General features: G+C 40.6%; 1 protein-coding gene across 12 annotated transcripts in view, besides 1 other annotated feature; it reads left to right on the top strand.

The window, feature by feature from the left end:
* Positions 1–17,644, top strand: part of GLIS3 (GLIS family zinc finger 3) — a 666,339-nt gene that overhangs the window by 611,346 nt on the left and 37,349 nt on the right. The gene's annotated exons all lie outside the window — the stretch shown is intronic.
* Positions 15,288–16,487: an enhancer, noted in NCBI's record as "CDK7 strongly-dependent group 2 enhancer chr9:3862633-3863832 (GRCh37/hg19 assembly coordinates)". NCBI's record gives its function as "activates an origin of replication core promoter dependent on BRD2, BRD4, P300/CBP, MED14 and CDK7 cofactors, with strong dependence on CDK7, by STARR-seq in HCT116 cells {active_cell/tissue: HCT116}" and the evidence as "EXISTENCE:reporter gene assay evidence [ECO:0000049][PMID:35650434]".

Here is a 17,644-nt window from a genome sequence, read left to right as displayed (position 1 = left end):
GGTAATGTATATGCAGGTCGAAGCACTTCCCGATGTCAGATGGTGCCCTCGCCACATAAATCAGTATTGTTAAGGCACAGGATTTTATGTAGGCTGCTCATTGAATACTTTATATTAATATCTGTCTCACAAAGGACTTCTGGGAGAAATTTTTTAAACAACCATGATCTTCATGATATTTTTACTCCTGAATTCTTTATTGGCCCCAGAGGCCTTTCGAGGCCCTTCATACTTCTGTTTCCCAATCTCGTGTGCTTCTGTGTACCACAAACCAAAATAAGAGTCTGCATCTCTTGCTTCTCCATCTCCTTCCCCTTTTTGTGGAGCAGGCTGTAATGAACTTCTCTTGCCCAAGGGCAAGTGTATGGCTGCATCAGTACAGGTAGCTTTGGAAGGAGGTTGGATGCTTCAGTCCTCTCCGAGCTGTCCAACACACCTCTTGTCACCTCTCTCCACTTGTCATCTGGCTTGAGTTGACCTACCTGGTTACTCCCAGACATCCAGAGGAGAAAGAAGTTCTGGCAATTGTTGAACAAAATAATGGGTTGAATAGGCAGCAGGAATAAAAGTTTTGTAACTTAGAGATTACTGGTGAAATCAGGTTCCATCATTGTTGGCCTGACCTATGAGTTTGGTAATATGTGGTTTTAATTCTGATAAACCATATATATTTTACTGTTTATGACTTTCTTCCTTTATCAATATTATTTTGTTTAATGAATGTCCGTTGAATACCTTCTATGTGTCAGACACTGTGTTGGATGCTGGAGTCCAAAAAGTTATTAAAATATGCTCCTGCCCTTACAGGTTTGAATGGTGAGGACAGGCATTCAAATGAAGTATAATAAGGCTGTTTGGTTAAATGATGTAATAGAGATCCCACAGGAGCCTAAAGAGGATGTCTCTAAATCTGTCTCGGGGGTGAGGGAAAGAAAGACACAGTGATGTAGGCATTGAAGGAAGACTAAGGCTCTTCTGGATGCCTCAGTGGGGGCACAGCATCCCAGGCAGCAAGAAGAACATATCCAAGATGTGAGGAACAGAAAGGACACCGTCAGGGACGGTCTCAGTAGCTTGGGATGACAGCATCCAGGCATACATGGCTGATGAAGTCAGATAATATTAGGTTGGCTTATGTGGGAATTGTGTATTTGATGCTAAGGAATTTGCCCCTTATCCTGCTAGGAGTGAAGAACCATTATAGGCTCTTTGTTAAGAGAGAAACACAATCAGATTGACATTACAGCAAAAGAATTCAGGTGGCAAGATAGTTGAGTAACTGAACCTGGAAGGAGAGACGGGAAAAACAAGGAGAAGAATATTGCAGGAGGCCTTGTGAGCAATATGGTTACTTGAAGCAAGGCAAAGCAGTGAGGATGGAGAATTTATTCAAGAGCAATTATTTAGGAGGCAGAATTACTAATCATTAATATATATGTGGAGCAAAGAGGAGGGACCAAAATTCATTTATAAGTTTTACCCCTAGATACCAAGATTGTGTCATTAATAGAAACTGAAAAATACAAAAAGAGTGTGGTAGTGTGGAGGAAAAAACAATGTTGAGTGGAGGAGAAGGGGAAGAAGACAGAATAATAAACTGACTTTAGGAGTTTGAACTTTAGGTGATTATAAAAGATCCATGTGGATATGTCTGATTGGCAATTAGCAATATGAATCAGAAGATGCTGGACTTTTTAAAAACAGTTCTATGCACAAGGTAAAGTGTAAACAAATCATTAGCCTCCTCCCACAAGATCTGTCAGCAAAGCAGCGCAAATGATAACCATCCATTAAGTTCACAGACGTTGCAGACAGAAAATCTTTTCTTCCACTTGTCTGATATATTCCTATAAATTAAGATTTTTTTAAAAAAATGCATTTTATATAGTTTTCTGTTTGGTTCTAAATGATATTAGCCACGGACTTTTCATCATCACATTTCATTCTGCCTGGCTGAGAATCTTACTCCATCCACAATGTCGTGAAGCTCAGGAATGATCAATCGGAACCTCCCTTCACTGCACCTCCTTATCTATAGTCATAACAACTCTTAACAAGAATATAAGACAAAAACGATCATTGAGTCTCCTTTTTGTACGCAGCCTTTAAAAGAATACATGTAGAAAAAGATTTTAATTATTATCAGAGTCAAAGACAACAATATCACACCCCAAATGCCTGAAATTTGCATCTCAGTTCTGACGGTTGCTAACTGTTTGGCTGTGGGCAAGTTCCTTAGCTGCTCCTGCTGCTTGAGGTTTGTGTGTTTGTCTTTTTTTAACATTTTGTATTTTTTATTCCTCCTCTTGAAAGTTTGTAACATATAAAGAATGGCAAGAATAGTACAATGAATACCCATGCATGTACCTGGCACTCATATTCACCCATTGTCAATATTTTGCCTTTCTTTCCTTCCCCTCCCTCCCCTCCCTCCCTTCCTTCTCTTTCTTTCTCTCTCTCTTTCTCTCTCTCTCTCTCTCTCTCTGACTTTGGTGATTCTTTGTTTTCCTGCCTATTGTTGCAGAACCATTTGACAGATGGTTGCAGATATCACTGAGCTTTACTGCTAATTACTTCAGTAGGGATCTCCTAAGAAGGACATTCTCCTACATAAACCCAATATAATAATCATACTCAGGAAATTTAACATTGATATAATACTATTCTCTAATGGTTACTTGCTATTCAGATTTCCCAAATTTTGTGAATAATGTTTTCTATAGCTGGAGATTTTTGTTTGTTTTCCTTTTTGTGATTCAGGGATCTAATAGGGATCTCACAGTGCATTTAATTTTTATTTCTTTTTCATCTTCTTGACTCTAATGAAGTTCTCCAGCTTTTTATTGTTATTATTATTGTCTTTCAGAACATTGACAGTTTTGAAGAACTCGGGACATTTATTTTACACAGTGTTCCAGGGTTCCATGGTTTGGATTTGTGTAATTGTTTTATCCTAAACAGATTCATTGTAAATATTTTTGGTGGGAATACCACATAGATGATGTGGTGTTTCTTAGCTTTTTTGAGATTTAGATTGCACCTTATGGGGAATTAGGATTAAATAAACTAAGTAGATAAAGTGCCTAGTAAGTTACATGGCATGAAACAGGCCTTTCATAGCTGTGGATACTAAAATAAAGACAGGCAGCTTTGGCATAGCTGAGTGATTCAGTTTGGAAGTCAGAGGATGTTGTTAAATGATCATAGGGGTTGATAATGTAAATAATCATGGAAGGGGAAATGGAGAGGAAGGAGGTACTTTATATGATGGGAGAATGAAATGGACATTTGCACTTTGTGGTTTTGCCTTGCTGCTATATTCTCCCCTACTGGACGTGTGCCCCATCCCTTGCCTTCCCAGCTGGAGTGGGCAAGTGTGAGTATGGCAGGTTCTCTCTTCCAATCAGGTTTGGAAAGGAAGATGACTTGAAACAGCCCTGACTTATTCACCAGGTTTGCGTTAGTGTCCAGCATAAAAACACTAAGAGGAAATGTGCTTACCTTCCGCTTTTGGTTTGTATATCTTTGCCTCTGTTTGCCTGGGAAATCCCCCAGTAAAAACTCCGGCAGTTTTCTTAACGGAAATAGGTTTATCACACTCTGCGATTTTTAGTGGGAAACTGGCATCTTTTCCTGCTTGCGGGCATTGATTCATCATTTACTTAGCTTTCACATGCTAAAAAAAATGGGCTGAGTCACTGTCAGAAGTCAGGAAAGGTCCACCACATCTACCCAGTTAGCGTCAAGTTCTTTGATCCTTACCATCATAAAATAAAATAAATGCAAGTTCTCTCAATCTAACAAGGTTCCATTTTTATTTTGAAATATTATCTGAATGACACATTATTTCAGTGATTTAAGCAGCACACTACATCACCTAATGTTGATCTAACTTATTACGGGAAGTGGTGTTTTACTATGGCATGTTGAATGAGCCAGTGGTACTTTATGACAGTGGCTTCCCATGAGAGGAACTCAGCGTCTTTGGAAATGTTAATTCAATGAGTTTCATAGTATGTCTGTTAGACCAGAGAAAACAAAAATATTGATGGGAGTCTCTTTTTGAAATGCAGAAATTTTACAATTCCAAGAATAAATCCTCTGAGTTTGTGTTTGCTCATCTTTTACAAGAGAATGTCAGCTGCCTCTCTTCATTCTGAAGAAGGCCACAAACAGTGCGCTTTGTCGTTCAGGTAATAGAGCTGAAGGAGGCCTGTGGATTGACCACAGTGGAGAGGCTTATGAAGGGCTTCCTATGAGCCCATGGCTGAGCCAGAAAAGACTGAAAAGAAAGTGTAAATATAAGGAAAAAAAACAAAGTGTTTTTTCTGTTCTCTCACTCAACAATAATCAACACAAAACGTTTCTGTGACCAACTGTGTGGGGGTTTTCCCCCAGCCCACTAAGCATGCAGTCAATTGTGCAGTAGACACCAGCTGGGTGTCCTCTAATTGCAACCTATCCTGACACTCTCTACTTGGAGAGAGTGTCAGATTCCACAGGTTGAGGACACAGTTCCACAGGACTGCCCCCCACTTCTGATGCCAGTTGCAAGACCTGGGTGATTTTGCCTGTACATCTGACAAACTGACTACAAATCAGGATTTCCACAGCCCCCTCCTCCGGTTCTATTAATTTGCTGGAGCAGTTCACAGAACTCAGGGAAACACATTTACTAGTTTATTATAAAGGACATTATAAAGGATACCAATGAAAAGATGTATAGGTCAAGGCATACGGGAAGGGACACAGAACCTCCATGCCCTCTCCAGGCCTACCGCCCTCCAGGAACCTCCATGTGTTCAGCTATCCAGAAGCTCTCTGAACCCAGTCCTTTTGGATTTTTATGGAGACTTCATTACATAGGCGTGATTGATTACATCATTGGCCATCGGTAATCAGTTTACTCTTTGGCCCCTCTTCCCTCAGAGTTTGGGGGTTGAGGCTGAAAGTTGACCCCTCTAATCCTGCCTTGGTCTCTCCAGTTGCCAGTCTCAGTCTCATTCTTTCAGGCAGCCAGAGGCTGCCAGCCATCAGTCAACTAATTAGCATACAAAAAGACACTATCACTTTGAAGATTCCAAGGATTTCAGAAGTTGTATGCCAGGAATGGGGAGGAAGACCAAATATATATTTCATAATATCACAGAAAGAAGGGATGTGTGGTCTCTTTGGAGAGTATTCAATCTAGTGTATGAATCAGCAGCAGAAAATATGAGGAACAATTATTTTTGAGCAGTAGTCAAATCACCTTTACCAAATAAGGAATGCCAGTTTTTTTTAGTCTCTATGGAGTATTGGGAAGGCTTCCTCTTTTCACCCATAATGTATTATTTCAGATATAGCATTGCTAGAATTCTAGGTACTTTTATACATGTATGATCTTTCTAGGCCTTTCAGTAATTTGCATAAGTAACTTTGACTTTTTCTTTGACTTTATTTTCTTTATTTTTTATCTTTATTTTATTTTTGTGCAAATTTATGGGGCATATGATGTGAAATTTTGTTACATGTATAGAATGCATAGTGATCAAGTTAAGGTATTTAGGATGTCCCACAACCAAGCACAATATGTTTTTTATTTAACTATAGTCACCTTATTCTGTTACCAGACATTGAATTTATTCCTTCTATTTAACTGATGATCATATGGTTTTTTGCGCCCATTCTCTTGATGTTATATATCCCATTTATTGATTTGCATATGTTGAATCATCCTTGCTTCCCTCGTATAAATCGCACTTGTCCTGTTGGGTTTGGTTTGCTGGTATTTTATTGAGGATTTTTTGTCTCTGTTTATCAGGGATATTGGCCTGCAGTTTTATTTTTGTTGTTTGTTATTGTTGTTGTGACTTTGTCTGGTTTGGGTATCAGGGTGATGCTGGCCTCATGGAATGACTGTGGGAGAATTCCCTCTTCAATTTTTTGGAATAGTTTCCAGAGGATTGGAATTAGTTTTCTGTACATTTGGTAGAATTTTGCTGTGAATCTATCTGGTCCTGGGCTTTTCCTTTGGGAAGACTTTTTAATACTGATTCCATCTCATTATGCATTATTGGTCTGTTCAGGTTTTTTATTTCTTCCTTATTCAGTCTTGGTAGATTGTCTATCAATTTCATTTATATGTTCCAATAACCAGCTTTTTGTTTGGTTGCTTCTTTGTATATTTTTTAGTTTCTATTTCATTTTATTCTGCTCATATCTTTATTTTTCCTGCAAATCTGGGGTTTGGTTTGTTCCTCCTTTTCTAGTTCTTTGAGGTATGTTTTTAGATTGTTTATTTGTAATCTTTCTACTTTTTTGATATAAGCATTTATTGCTACAAACTTCCCTTTTAGCACTGCTTTTGCTGTATTCCACAGGTGTGGGGACTGATATAGTTTGGCTGTGTGTCCGCACCCAAATCTCATCTTGAATTGTATTCCCATAATTCCTACGTGTTGTGGGAGGGATCTGTTGGGAGATAATTGAATCATCGGGATGGTTTCCCCCATACTGTTGTCTTGGTAGTGCATAAGTCTCATGAGATCTGAGGGTTTTTATCAGGGGTTTTCACCTTTGTGTCTTCCTCATTCTCTTTGCCTGCTGCCATCCATGTAAAATGGGAGTTGCTCCTCCTTACAATCTGCCATGATTGTAAGGCTTCCCCAACCACATGTAAGTCCAATTAAACCTCTTTCTTTTGTAAATTGCCCAGTCTTGGGTATGTCTTTAACAGTAGCATGAAAACAGACTAATAAAGTAAATTGCTACCAGTAGAGTGGGGTGCTACAGTAGATACCTGAAAATGTGGAAGCAACTTTGGGACTGGGTAACAGACAGGGGTTGGAACAGTTTGGAGAGCTCAGAAGAAGATAGGAAAATGTGGAAACATTTGGAATTTCCTAGAGACTTGTTGAATGGCTTTGCCCAAAATGCTGATAGAGATACGGACAATAAAGTCAAGGCTGAGGTGGTCTCAGATGGAAATGAGGAACTTGTTGGGAACTGGAGCAAAGGTGACTCTTGTTACGTTTTAGCAAAGGTAGTGGTGGCATTTTGCCTCTGCCCTGGAGATTTGTGGAACTTTGAACTTGAGAGAGCTGATTTAGGGTATCTAGCAGAAGAAATTTCAGAGCAGCAAAGCATTCAGGAAGTGACTTGGGTGCTGTTAAAAGCATTCAGTTTTAAAAAGGAAACAGAGCATAGAAGTTTGAAAAATTTGCAGCCTGGCAATGCATTAGAAGAGAAAATCTCATTTTCTGGGGAGAAATTCAAGCTGGCTGCATAAATTTGCATAAGTAACGAGGAGCCAAATGTTAATTCCCAAGACAATGGGGAAAATGTCTCCAGTGCATCTCAGAGGTCTTCACAGCAGTCCCTCCAGTCACAGGCCCCAAGGCCTAGGAGGAAAAAGTGGTCTCCAGGGCCTGGCCCAGGGTCCCTGTGCTGTGTGCAGCCTAGGGACTTGGTGCCCTGCGTCCCAGCCACTCAAGCAATGGCTGAAAGGGGCCTGAAGCTCTGGCCATGGCTTCAGATGGTGCAAGCCCTAAGCCTTGGCAGCTTCCATGTGGTGTTGAGCCTGCGGGTACACAGAAGTCAAGAACTGAGGTTTGGGAACGTCTGTCTAGATTTCAGAAGATGTGTGGAAATGCCTGGATACCCAGGCAGAAGTTTGCTGCAGGGGCACAGCTCTCATGAAGAACCTCTACTAGAGCAATGCAAAAGGGAAATGTGGGGTTGGAGAGCCCACACAGAGTCTCTACTGGGACACTGTCTAGTGGAGCTGTGAGAAGAGGGTCACTGTCCTCCAGACCCCAGAATGGTAGATCCACCAATAGCTTGCACTGTGCGCCTGCAAAAGCCAATGCCAGCCCATGCTCAATGCCAGCCCATGAAAGCAACCAGGAGGCAGGCTGTACCCTGCAAAGCCACAGGAGTGGAGCTGCCCAAGACCATGGGAACCCACCTCTTGCATCAGTGTGACCTGGGTATGAGACATGGAGTCAAAGGAGATCATTTTGGAGCTTAAAGATTTGACTGCCCAACTGGATTTTGAAATTGCATGTGCCGTGTAGCCCCTCTGTTTTGGCCAATTCCTCCCATTTGGAATGGTTATATTTACCCAGTGTCTGTATCCCCATTGTATCTGGGAAATAAGTAGCTTGCTTTTGATTTTACAGGCTCATATGTGGAAGAGACCTGCCTTGTCTCAGACAAGACTTTGGACGGTGGACTTTTGAGTTAATGCTGAAATGAGTTAAGACTTTGGGGAACTGTTAGGAAGGCATGATTGGTTTTGAAATGTGAGGACATGAGATTTGGCATGGGCCAGGGGTGGAATTATATGGTTTGGCTCTGTGTCCTCACCCAAATCTCATCTTGAATTGTATTCCCATAATTCCCATGTGTTGTGGGAGGGACCTGTTGGGGATAACTGAATCACTGGGGTTTGTTTCCCTCATACTGTTCTCATGGTAGTGAATAAGTCTCACGAGACCTGATGGTTTTATCAGGGGGTTCTGCTTTTGCGTCCTCCTCATTCTCTTTGCCTTCTGCCATCCATGTAAGATGGGACTTGCTCCTCCTTACCTTCTGCCATGATTGTGAGGCTTCCTCAGCCACATGGAACTGTAAGTCCAATTAAACCTCTTTCTTTTGTAAATTGCCCAGTCTCAGGTACGTCTTTAACAGCAGCATGAAAACAGACTAATATAGGGATGTTGTATTTTCATTTTCATTTGTTTCAAGAAAATTTTTAATTTTCATCTTAATTTTCTCTTTGGCCCAGTGGTCATCCAGGAGCATGTTAATTTCCATGTATTTGTATGGTTTCCAAAGTTCTTTCTGGTATTGAATTCTTGTTTTATTCCATCATAGCCTGAGAATATACTTGATATGATTACAATTTGAAAAATTTGTTGAGACTAATTTTGTAGTCTCACAGGTATCATTTTCTAATTGATCATTGGGAATGTAATGTTGCTTGCCTGGATGCTAAAGGGTCAAAGACAGCAACGATTTTCAACTCAATGGCTTTGCAATTCTGTAAAGTTCTTTAGCTCTACCCAAACCAGTCTGACTTATGACTTAGTTTCCTTTTTTCCGTGTCTTAATTCAGGCTTTGTTTCTATATAAAAACTTCCTTTTTCTTCCTATCCTTAACCAAGTGTTACCCAGCCTTTGGAGCTCAGTTTAGTTCTCGATGCAGGAAGCCTCTCCTCTGCCTCTCACAGTTCACAAAATCAAGTTCCCTTGATGAATCCCTTGGATCTTATCATCTGTTTCATGTATATGCTATTTACCAGATGTCTCCATGCTAACTGAATTGTTAGCTTTTGGTGAGCAGGAACCTTAAGTTTCCTGGTGACCTCCATACTGCCATGTACTGAGTAATGCAGTGATAGGTCCTAAGGAAGGTTTGAGAAAGGTAAAAGACCAATGAGGGGAATGCCTAAGAAGCAAGAGGTCATTGGCAGGTCCCAGTGTCTTTCCAGAAAGCAACAATTCCCTTGATTTATTGATCAGAAGGGCAGTAGCCGTAATTCTGGAAGTTCTTCCCATCTTGTATAACCTGCGTACTTTGATACAATGCATAGTTGCTCTAATATATACATTCAGGCACACAAACACATTGCTAGGAGTACCTTGCCACCATCCATTTGTGGTTTCTCTACATTGCTTTCTTGAAATCTTGAATACTAGTGCCTGACACTCACCATTCTCACTTATTTGTATATGTAGCGTCTGAACAACTAAAAACTAAGCCTGTTGCTTTGCTGTTCTTTCCTCTCCAGGACTTTCTGAGTAATCAGCGATGTTGGTATCTTAAACCACTCAGCTTTTACACACACACACACACACACACACACACCCTAGATAATTTTTTCTCACTCTCTTTAATGTAGTATATGTGTAATAGTCATATACATCATATCAAATATTAAGCATATCAAAATCTACCCCGGCACTAGAGGTTTATTTGTTTACTGTTGTTTTGTTTATTGTCTTTCGCTGGTGTTTATATACCAGGCAGTATGCTGGACACTGAGGCTATAGTGGTAAATAAGACCAACAGAAGCCTTGCCCTCTCAGAGTATCCAGTCTAACGGAAGACACCAAGCCAATAGGCAATCATAGTTTAGAGTATTATGAAGGGATGATATAGGGGCCTGTGGATGCATACAGAAAGAGCACATAACCCAAAATTGGGGAGAAAGGACTAGAGGAGGAAATTTTTTCCTGAAAACTGATAGCCTACAGGCAAGAAGACTATGTACAACAAGTGTTGTATACAACACTATGTACAACAAGTGTTGTATACAAAAGCTAAGAAGGAAGAGAGCCAGGCAAGGGTGGAGCTTAGTGTAGAAATTAGGGAGTAACCTTATCAGCCACATTTAGGGGTTTGGGCTTTAACTTGAGGACAAGAAGTTGTGTGTTGGGCCAATAAGGGGGATGTAGTGACTCTTGCACACATTCCAAATTCCTCCCTAGTCTGTTATCCACCCACAAAGAGTTCAGAATGTATTCTCTGCCTGATAGAAGAAAAAAGACAAAGAATTGAAAAATGGTTCATCTTGTTCTCAAATAGCCAAAGACACTGTTTTGTACCTCCTGGATTAGTGAAGCAGCACAATAGGGATTATGTTATTTTCCTTTTTAATACCATTTGTAAAGACAGTTTTGTCCCTAAGCAATTTGAAGCTTGTATTTTATGTAGTCATGAACTACCAGGGTTTTGAAGAGTCGCTGAGTGTCAAAAAAAAAATTACTTCCATTTTGAAGACAAAGTGATGAACATCTGAAAATTAGAGAGCTAATCCAGCAATAACTTGGTCTCACTTGTCTCCATTATATCTGAGAAAACTTGGATATGACTAAGAGTTCACTGCACGACTGCGTGTCATCTTATGGTTGCAATTTGTCTAGTGAGCACTGCTCTGTGGTCACTGATGCAAATTAAGAGAGTTTCTGACACATACAGAAACATATCTAACTTAGAGGGTAACAAATAAACACAGGCAATTAAGTTTGTCAATCTTGATCATTGGAATAGTTGAGAAAAGCCATAGTTAAAAGACAAATATAAGCCTCAAATAACCATTTTTATCAGCCTGCATGTTGACATCCATGTCATCCTCTGGTAGTGTCCCCTCTGGGGGCTCACCTTGTGCCATGTCATCATGAACATCATTCTTTCTCTTTGGGCCACAGCATTTTTATGCAGAAGTCAAGCCATTATCCTCATTTAGCATCCCATGAGAGGACCAGTTTCTCTCTAGAAAGGTTAACTTCCACAGATATTCAAGATTAAGAGAGGTGGGGTCCAAAATCCACTCCTTACCCAACACATGTGCATGCACACGCATACACACATGCACTCACACACACACACACACACACGCACGCACACACACACACAAGAATTGTTGAATGTAATAAAAGTTGTTCCTGATCTCAATGTTGTGAGCAGTACAGAGGCAGAAAATTCTGATATCCTATTTTTGAAAATGGAGATGAAAGCTTTGGGTTTTAGATTAGAAAAGGTTGGTGGCCTCTTCCTATTTTGTTTTCTTTAAATCTATGGAAAATTTCTGGTACTTCTCAATGTTTATTCCAGGGTAGAATGGCCAGCCAGTCTTTAAGCTTCTTAACTATTGAGGATCCATGGCCAAAGCCACGCTTCATCCTCTGGCAAATATCAGTTAGGTCATTGGCCTTTGGAATGAACTTTCTTCTCTCACTAATAACTTCTTAAATACACTCCCCTGATATGCTCCTGGAAGTCACATGTACACTTATAAGGAAATAGATGACATTGGTTGCTTTCTTTTTACCAGTCTAGTGATTGTGAATGGCTCCGGAAGAAAAGAAAAAGATAAAATAACAACAGCAACAACAACAACAAAACAACATTGCTAAACTGGCTTCCCCGACCTATCTACTTTTATGAACATAATTTTCAGTCTAATGTGTTTCTTGATAATGGAGAAAAATCAAGAGTTAAGTCTATATAGTTATCTTCAACTTACTGTTAAAAACCTAAAAAGCCTAGGAGTCAACTCAGATTCTTCCCTTTTCCCAAACACTCTCACATCTAATTCATCTGTAGGTCCTGTTGGCTCTATCTTCAAAATACATTTCAAGCCTAATCAACTCCAATCCTCCTCCCTAGTTCAAGCCACTGTCCCCTCCCATCTTAAGCAAATAGCCTCTAACTGGTCTCTCTACATCAAGTCTTGCCTACCTGTGATCATCTACCCTCATCCCACCAGCTCACACATGGCACTGCTCTACACCACAAGAGCTACCCTTTAAGATGTAAATGGAATATATGTTCACACCTCTCCCTGGTTAATACTTGAAATAAAATTCAAACTCCATTTTGTAGTGTACATGACCCTGTATGGTACGGCCTCTGCTAAATTCACCTATCGTCAATTCCCTTGTTTAATCTGTTCCAGCCACACTGGCCTGTTGGAGTTTCTAGAAAACACTCACTAGTCTTGCCTTGGGGACTCTGCACTTGCTGTTCCTGAAACCTGAAAGCCACTCTCATCAGAACCTCACATGACCTGTGCCTTCCTTTGTGATGTCTGCTCAAATTGTACCTCTTCAGAAAGGCCCTTCTTGACTATCTAAAACTTTTCTTTCCCGCCTCCCTTTACTTTTTGTTTCTGAGACAGTCTCGCTCTGTTGCCCAGGCTGGAGTGCAGTGGCGTGATCTCGGCTCACTGCAAGCGCCACCTCCTGGATTCATGCCATTCTCCTGCCTCAGCCTCCCGAGTAGCTGGCTCCCTTTACTCTTTAACTCTGCTTTAATTTTCCTTCATTGACTTCTCGCTCCCTGAAATTGCACTGTTTGTTTACTAATTGCTTCTATTACACTACAGGGGCCCCAGTCTCCCTGAGCACAGAGACTATGTCAGGTTGATGGCTACCTTGTGCAGAATGCTTACCTCTCAGTGCTGATAGGAGAAGCCTAAGGAATTTTGTGAAATGAATGAATGTGGATGGAAGCAAGAATACTACTCTCATTCATTTGTTATTTCTGAGAGTGGTTACAGTATCCCAGAGCAGGCAATTGTTCTTCTTCCACCTCCACAATCTGCTTCGGACCACTTCATGGGAAGACAGGAGACACTGACGTCAGTTTCTGTGGGGCACTCTCCCAAGCAGACAGCTCCACTTGTGGTTTCAGTGTTTGTTATATCAGATTTTTATCCACCTGTGTTTTATTTTTGAAATGCACTGGTTCTTCATTTTAGATTAATTACAATCACATATCAAAAACCAACTATTAGGATGCCTATAAAGGAAACCATGTTTTAAGTGCCAAGGAAGTCATTTGGCCTCCAAAAGCCAAATCAACCATCTTTATTTTGTTTCCATATTCCAAACAAATCCACCTCATGTTAAGCCCAAGATGATGTCTTCTTAGTCCCCTTGGATTTTCAGTCAGGAAAGTGAGTCATGACAGTAACAAGAAAGGCTTAAGTGAAATAGCATTTCTCTTCTTGCAACCTCTACTTTATTACAATAGCATGAAGCAACAATGGAAGTCACACTAACTCATGGTATTATTCCAACTTGTTAGTATGTTCTTGTCATATGCTGTTTCTGAAACAGCGAGTCATATATAGTCAGAATTCTCAAAGCAAAAGCCCACAAGCCATTCTAGCCTGAGTCAAGACATCCACATATTCCAAAGTGCTTCCTCTCTGACATAGAATAGGCTGGTCAAAGGATTGCCTCTACTTAGTCTTTTAAAGGCGCGATCTAGAAATCTTCATGGTCTTTTCCTTTCCCACGTAGCGACAGTCAGGAGACTTAGCTGCTAAGAGATTATCTTTCTGCACGTGAAGAACTGTGTTGATTGCTGGTAAGGAGAGTATGGAGGTGAGCAGAAACCCAGAGGCAAAGTTCATTGGATGAACCTTTTGTGTTTGTGTCCTTTTCTGAGAAATAGTCTTTGGTTGCTTTTCTGTTTAGTTAGAAGGAGAAAAAATTTCTGTTTTACTCATCCTTCCCCTCAGAGAACATCATTAGGCTCATTCTCTTGAATACATATTCTCCCCTCGGAGCCAGAAGCTGTGCAAATATAATATCCAGCTGGACATTTGCACCAAGTGGGCAAATGTATCATCTACCTGGGCACAGGAATTGGCACCAAGTTGAGAACCAGGTCTGTGGAACCATGTTCAGCAGAGTAATTCTTCAGCAGCAATGACCTACATTTGTTCAATACTTACCTTCTCGTAGAACTAGATAAGGTGCTGGAGATACGCAACAGTAGCAAGTATCTGAGGGTTTTTGCCCTTTCCATCTATAAGAGCCAAACGCCCTTCACTAATTGTGTATTTTTAAAATATATGCTGTTTCCTTCCATTCATTTCTCTAGTCAAATGTTGAGTCTTATCTTTAAGAGAAGGTGCAGAAAATTCCTGCACCTGACATTCAATATGAGGGAAGAAAAAAAGCACTATAAACAGCACATGTTATTAATGACTGAAGCGTCACCCGGCCAGTTTCTTTTCAAATGTATGGATTATGTTGACTTTTGACATCTTCTCTGGTTGTGGCTTCCAAAGGTACCTGACCACACTTGGCAGGAGTACTGCGTTTAAAGTTGGTTCTCAAAGTTCTGCTGGTGTGTTCAAGAGACTAGTGTTTGCATTTTGAAACCATGAGAAGGATACTGGGATACTGGATAGTCCATTTTTTGTATGTCCATGCCTCCATTTCTCATGCTTAGACAAAAATAACACTGATTTTTTGCCTTGTTTCTCATCTGACATTCTCATTACACTCTCTTCTGAACGTTTTTCTTTCATCTAATGCATTCTATTGTAAAGTAGATTGAACGCTATGTCTGACACCATGCTGAACAAGAGAAAGATTCTTGCCTTTGCTACAGGACTATGAGTTAATCCCCTTGCTCTGACCCACTCAGAGAAACCCAAGAGATGATATCATTGCAGATTTTTTTTTCATAGTAGAATTTTTTACATCAAATGTCTAGGACCACTCTGGATAAATTTTCTTCAGTTTGGTGCTTTTTTAAAGAGAGGATTTGGCAGAATCAGCCTTTCTTCCCTCTCTCCCCATGTCAGATTCTGAAATAGACAAACAACTGAGTCACAGCCAATTCTGCAGTCAGGATATTCCAGAAAACTCCTCTCTTGGTCCTGCATAATTCATTTCTCTGACATACCCGAGACGTTCTCCCCTCCTCCCTTTTTCTTTCCACAGGGGAGAAACACTGCAATGCTGTGGGTCCTATTTCAGCATTTCGAAGAAAAAAAAATAACACTTCTCTGCCTTGGGCATTGATTAGTTTGTTTTTTTGACTTACAACTCGCTCCCTACACCCAAGAGGAGAAACTTTCCTCCAGAACACTCTGTCCTTTCTGTTTCTCACACTCACTCACTCATGATGTATATGAGCATCTCCTTCAAAAAGTATTTGTGATCGTTTCACCTACAGCCAACTTCACAGACTTCATTTTGTCATGCTCAGTGTAGGTTCAGGCCATCATTTTTGAGTCCTGGTCTTTTCCAACCTTATGAATTATTTGCAGTTAATACTGACCCAGCCTCTCATAGGGAGCACAAGCTCTTCCAGGGGACAGATTAGGCTCTTGGACTATTTGGGGACAGAGTCCTCAGACGGACACACAGCTCTTGCCCTGCCCCAGTCCTGCCCCAGTGGACAGTGTTGCAATTACCCACACTTCCCAGCGGCTGTTTCTTCTTTACTGAAAGCTGGTCTTGATTGTCTCAGAAGCCGAATTCAATTTGCAGTTCCCCCAGTAACGTGCTGTGATTCATTTGGGGACAAATCTGGATTGAACTGAGTCCAAGTGTCTCTTTTGTGAGACAGAAGGGAAGTATAAGTAGATACTATAGTCACCCAGATGAGTCAGCCAGGAATTCATGAAGTGATTCATAAATCGTTATAAAGACCACTAAAGTCTGCTAAAATGGAGTGCTGTCTGGCTATACAAAGTGGGGTATTATCATTGCGGGGTTTTTTTAGATGTTAAATCAGATGTGAAATCCTTAAAACTGGGCTTTTCTTTTTAAGTTTTGAAAAGGATTCCTTTCTTCCCCCTCTGCAGTTGGCCAACTGCTATAGCCATTTTTCATTGATTAGTTTGCACAGATGAATTTTAAAACCGCCACAGATGATACCCCACAATTCTTTGGGGAAATAAAAAATACCTCCCCAAATCCATCGTAGACTAGTTTATATCCATTATTTCTACTCCCTGGCAGCAAATCAATAATATTTTTCGTGTGAATACAATGAAACAAGCTGTTCTAATGAATCCTTCCTTCTTTGGGAGGTCTGTAGCCGCCGTGGAAGAGACGGGGGGCGGAGGGAAAGAAAAACTATCCAGAACACATACCGCCTTTTAATCTAGTTGATCGTGTAAAAACACAAATTCCTTCTTTTCAAAGTGTTAACCCCCAAAGCAGTGCTAAAACACACAGTCCTGCACTGCTGGCTGGAACTGCTTGTGCGTACAGTACAAATGAAGAAAAGTAAGAAATATTTATGACATGCTTGACTGGTAACACAATCTATTAGTAAATTTTGTTAAAGAAATAAATGTGTACATTGACAAAGAAATACTTTGGACTTATACACACGGGAAAGAGCCCTACCCGAAAGAAGTTATCTAGTTAGAAAGACTAAAGGTATATACTATGTTGTGCATGAAGAACTCCAGTTCAGGGCTGAGCAAGTTCACCAAAGCACACTGAGCAACACTTGCCATTGCTAGATTTCTTAAAGGTAGTATGTTGCTGACACGCTCTCCCACTAGCCCATGATAAAGATGAACATTTCAGATGCCCTCAGGAATCTTCTTCATTCCCCCCTCACCCCACCACTCATGATTGCTTTCCATCTCCGCTAGAGAAGTCCTTCTTACCTTTGTGACTTTAAGCAAATTATTTTACCTCGTTGGGCATTTGTTTTTTTCATCCAAATAAGATGGTGCTCCAGTGCCCTTTCCAACTAAAACATTCTATAATTGTATGAATTTGTGGACTCAGGATACTCCACTGGAAAACCCAGCACCAAGATATGAGACCTATACACAAGACCAACATTAACTACTTCTAGAACTAGAAAATCAGCCACATGAGTAAATGCTTCACTTTCTTTTTTAAATTTAATTTAAGTTAAGTTTAAGTTCTGGGATACATTTGCAGGATGTGCCGGTTTGTTACAGAAGTAAACATGTGCCATGGCGGTTTGCTGTGCCTATCAACCCATCACCTAAGTATTAAGCCCCGCATGCATTAGCTATTTTTCCTGATGCTCTCCCTCCCCTGCACCCACTAACAGGCCCCAGTGTGTGCTGTTCCCCTCCCTGTGTCCATGTGTTCTCATTGTTCAGCTCCCACTTATAAGTGAGAACATTCAGTGTTTGGTTTTATGTTCCTGCATTAGTTTGCTGAGGATAATGGCTTCCAGCTCCATCCATGTCCCTGCAAATTACATGATCTCATTCCTTTTTATGGGTGCATAGTATTTCATGGTGTATATGTACCACATTTTCTTTATCCGGTCTATCTTGATGGGCATTTGGATTGATTCCCTGTTTTTGCTATTGTGAATAGTGCTGCAATGAACGTACACATGCATGTA

This window comes from Homo sapiens, chromosome 9, assembly GCF_000001405.40.
Source record: "Homo sapiens chromosome 9, GRCh38.p14 Primary Assembly".
Lineage (NCBI taxonomy): Eukaryota > Metazoa > Chordata > Mammalia > Primates > Hominidae > Homo > Homo sapiens.
This window is presented reverse-complemented; position numbering and strand designations above follow the sequence as displayed.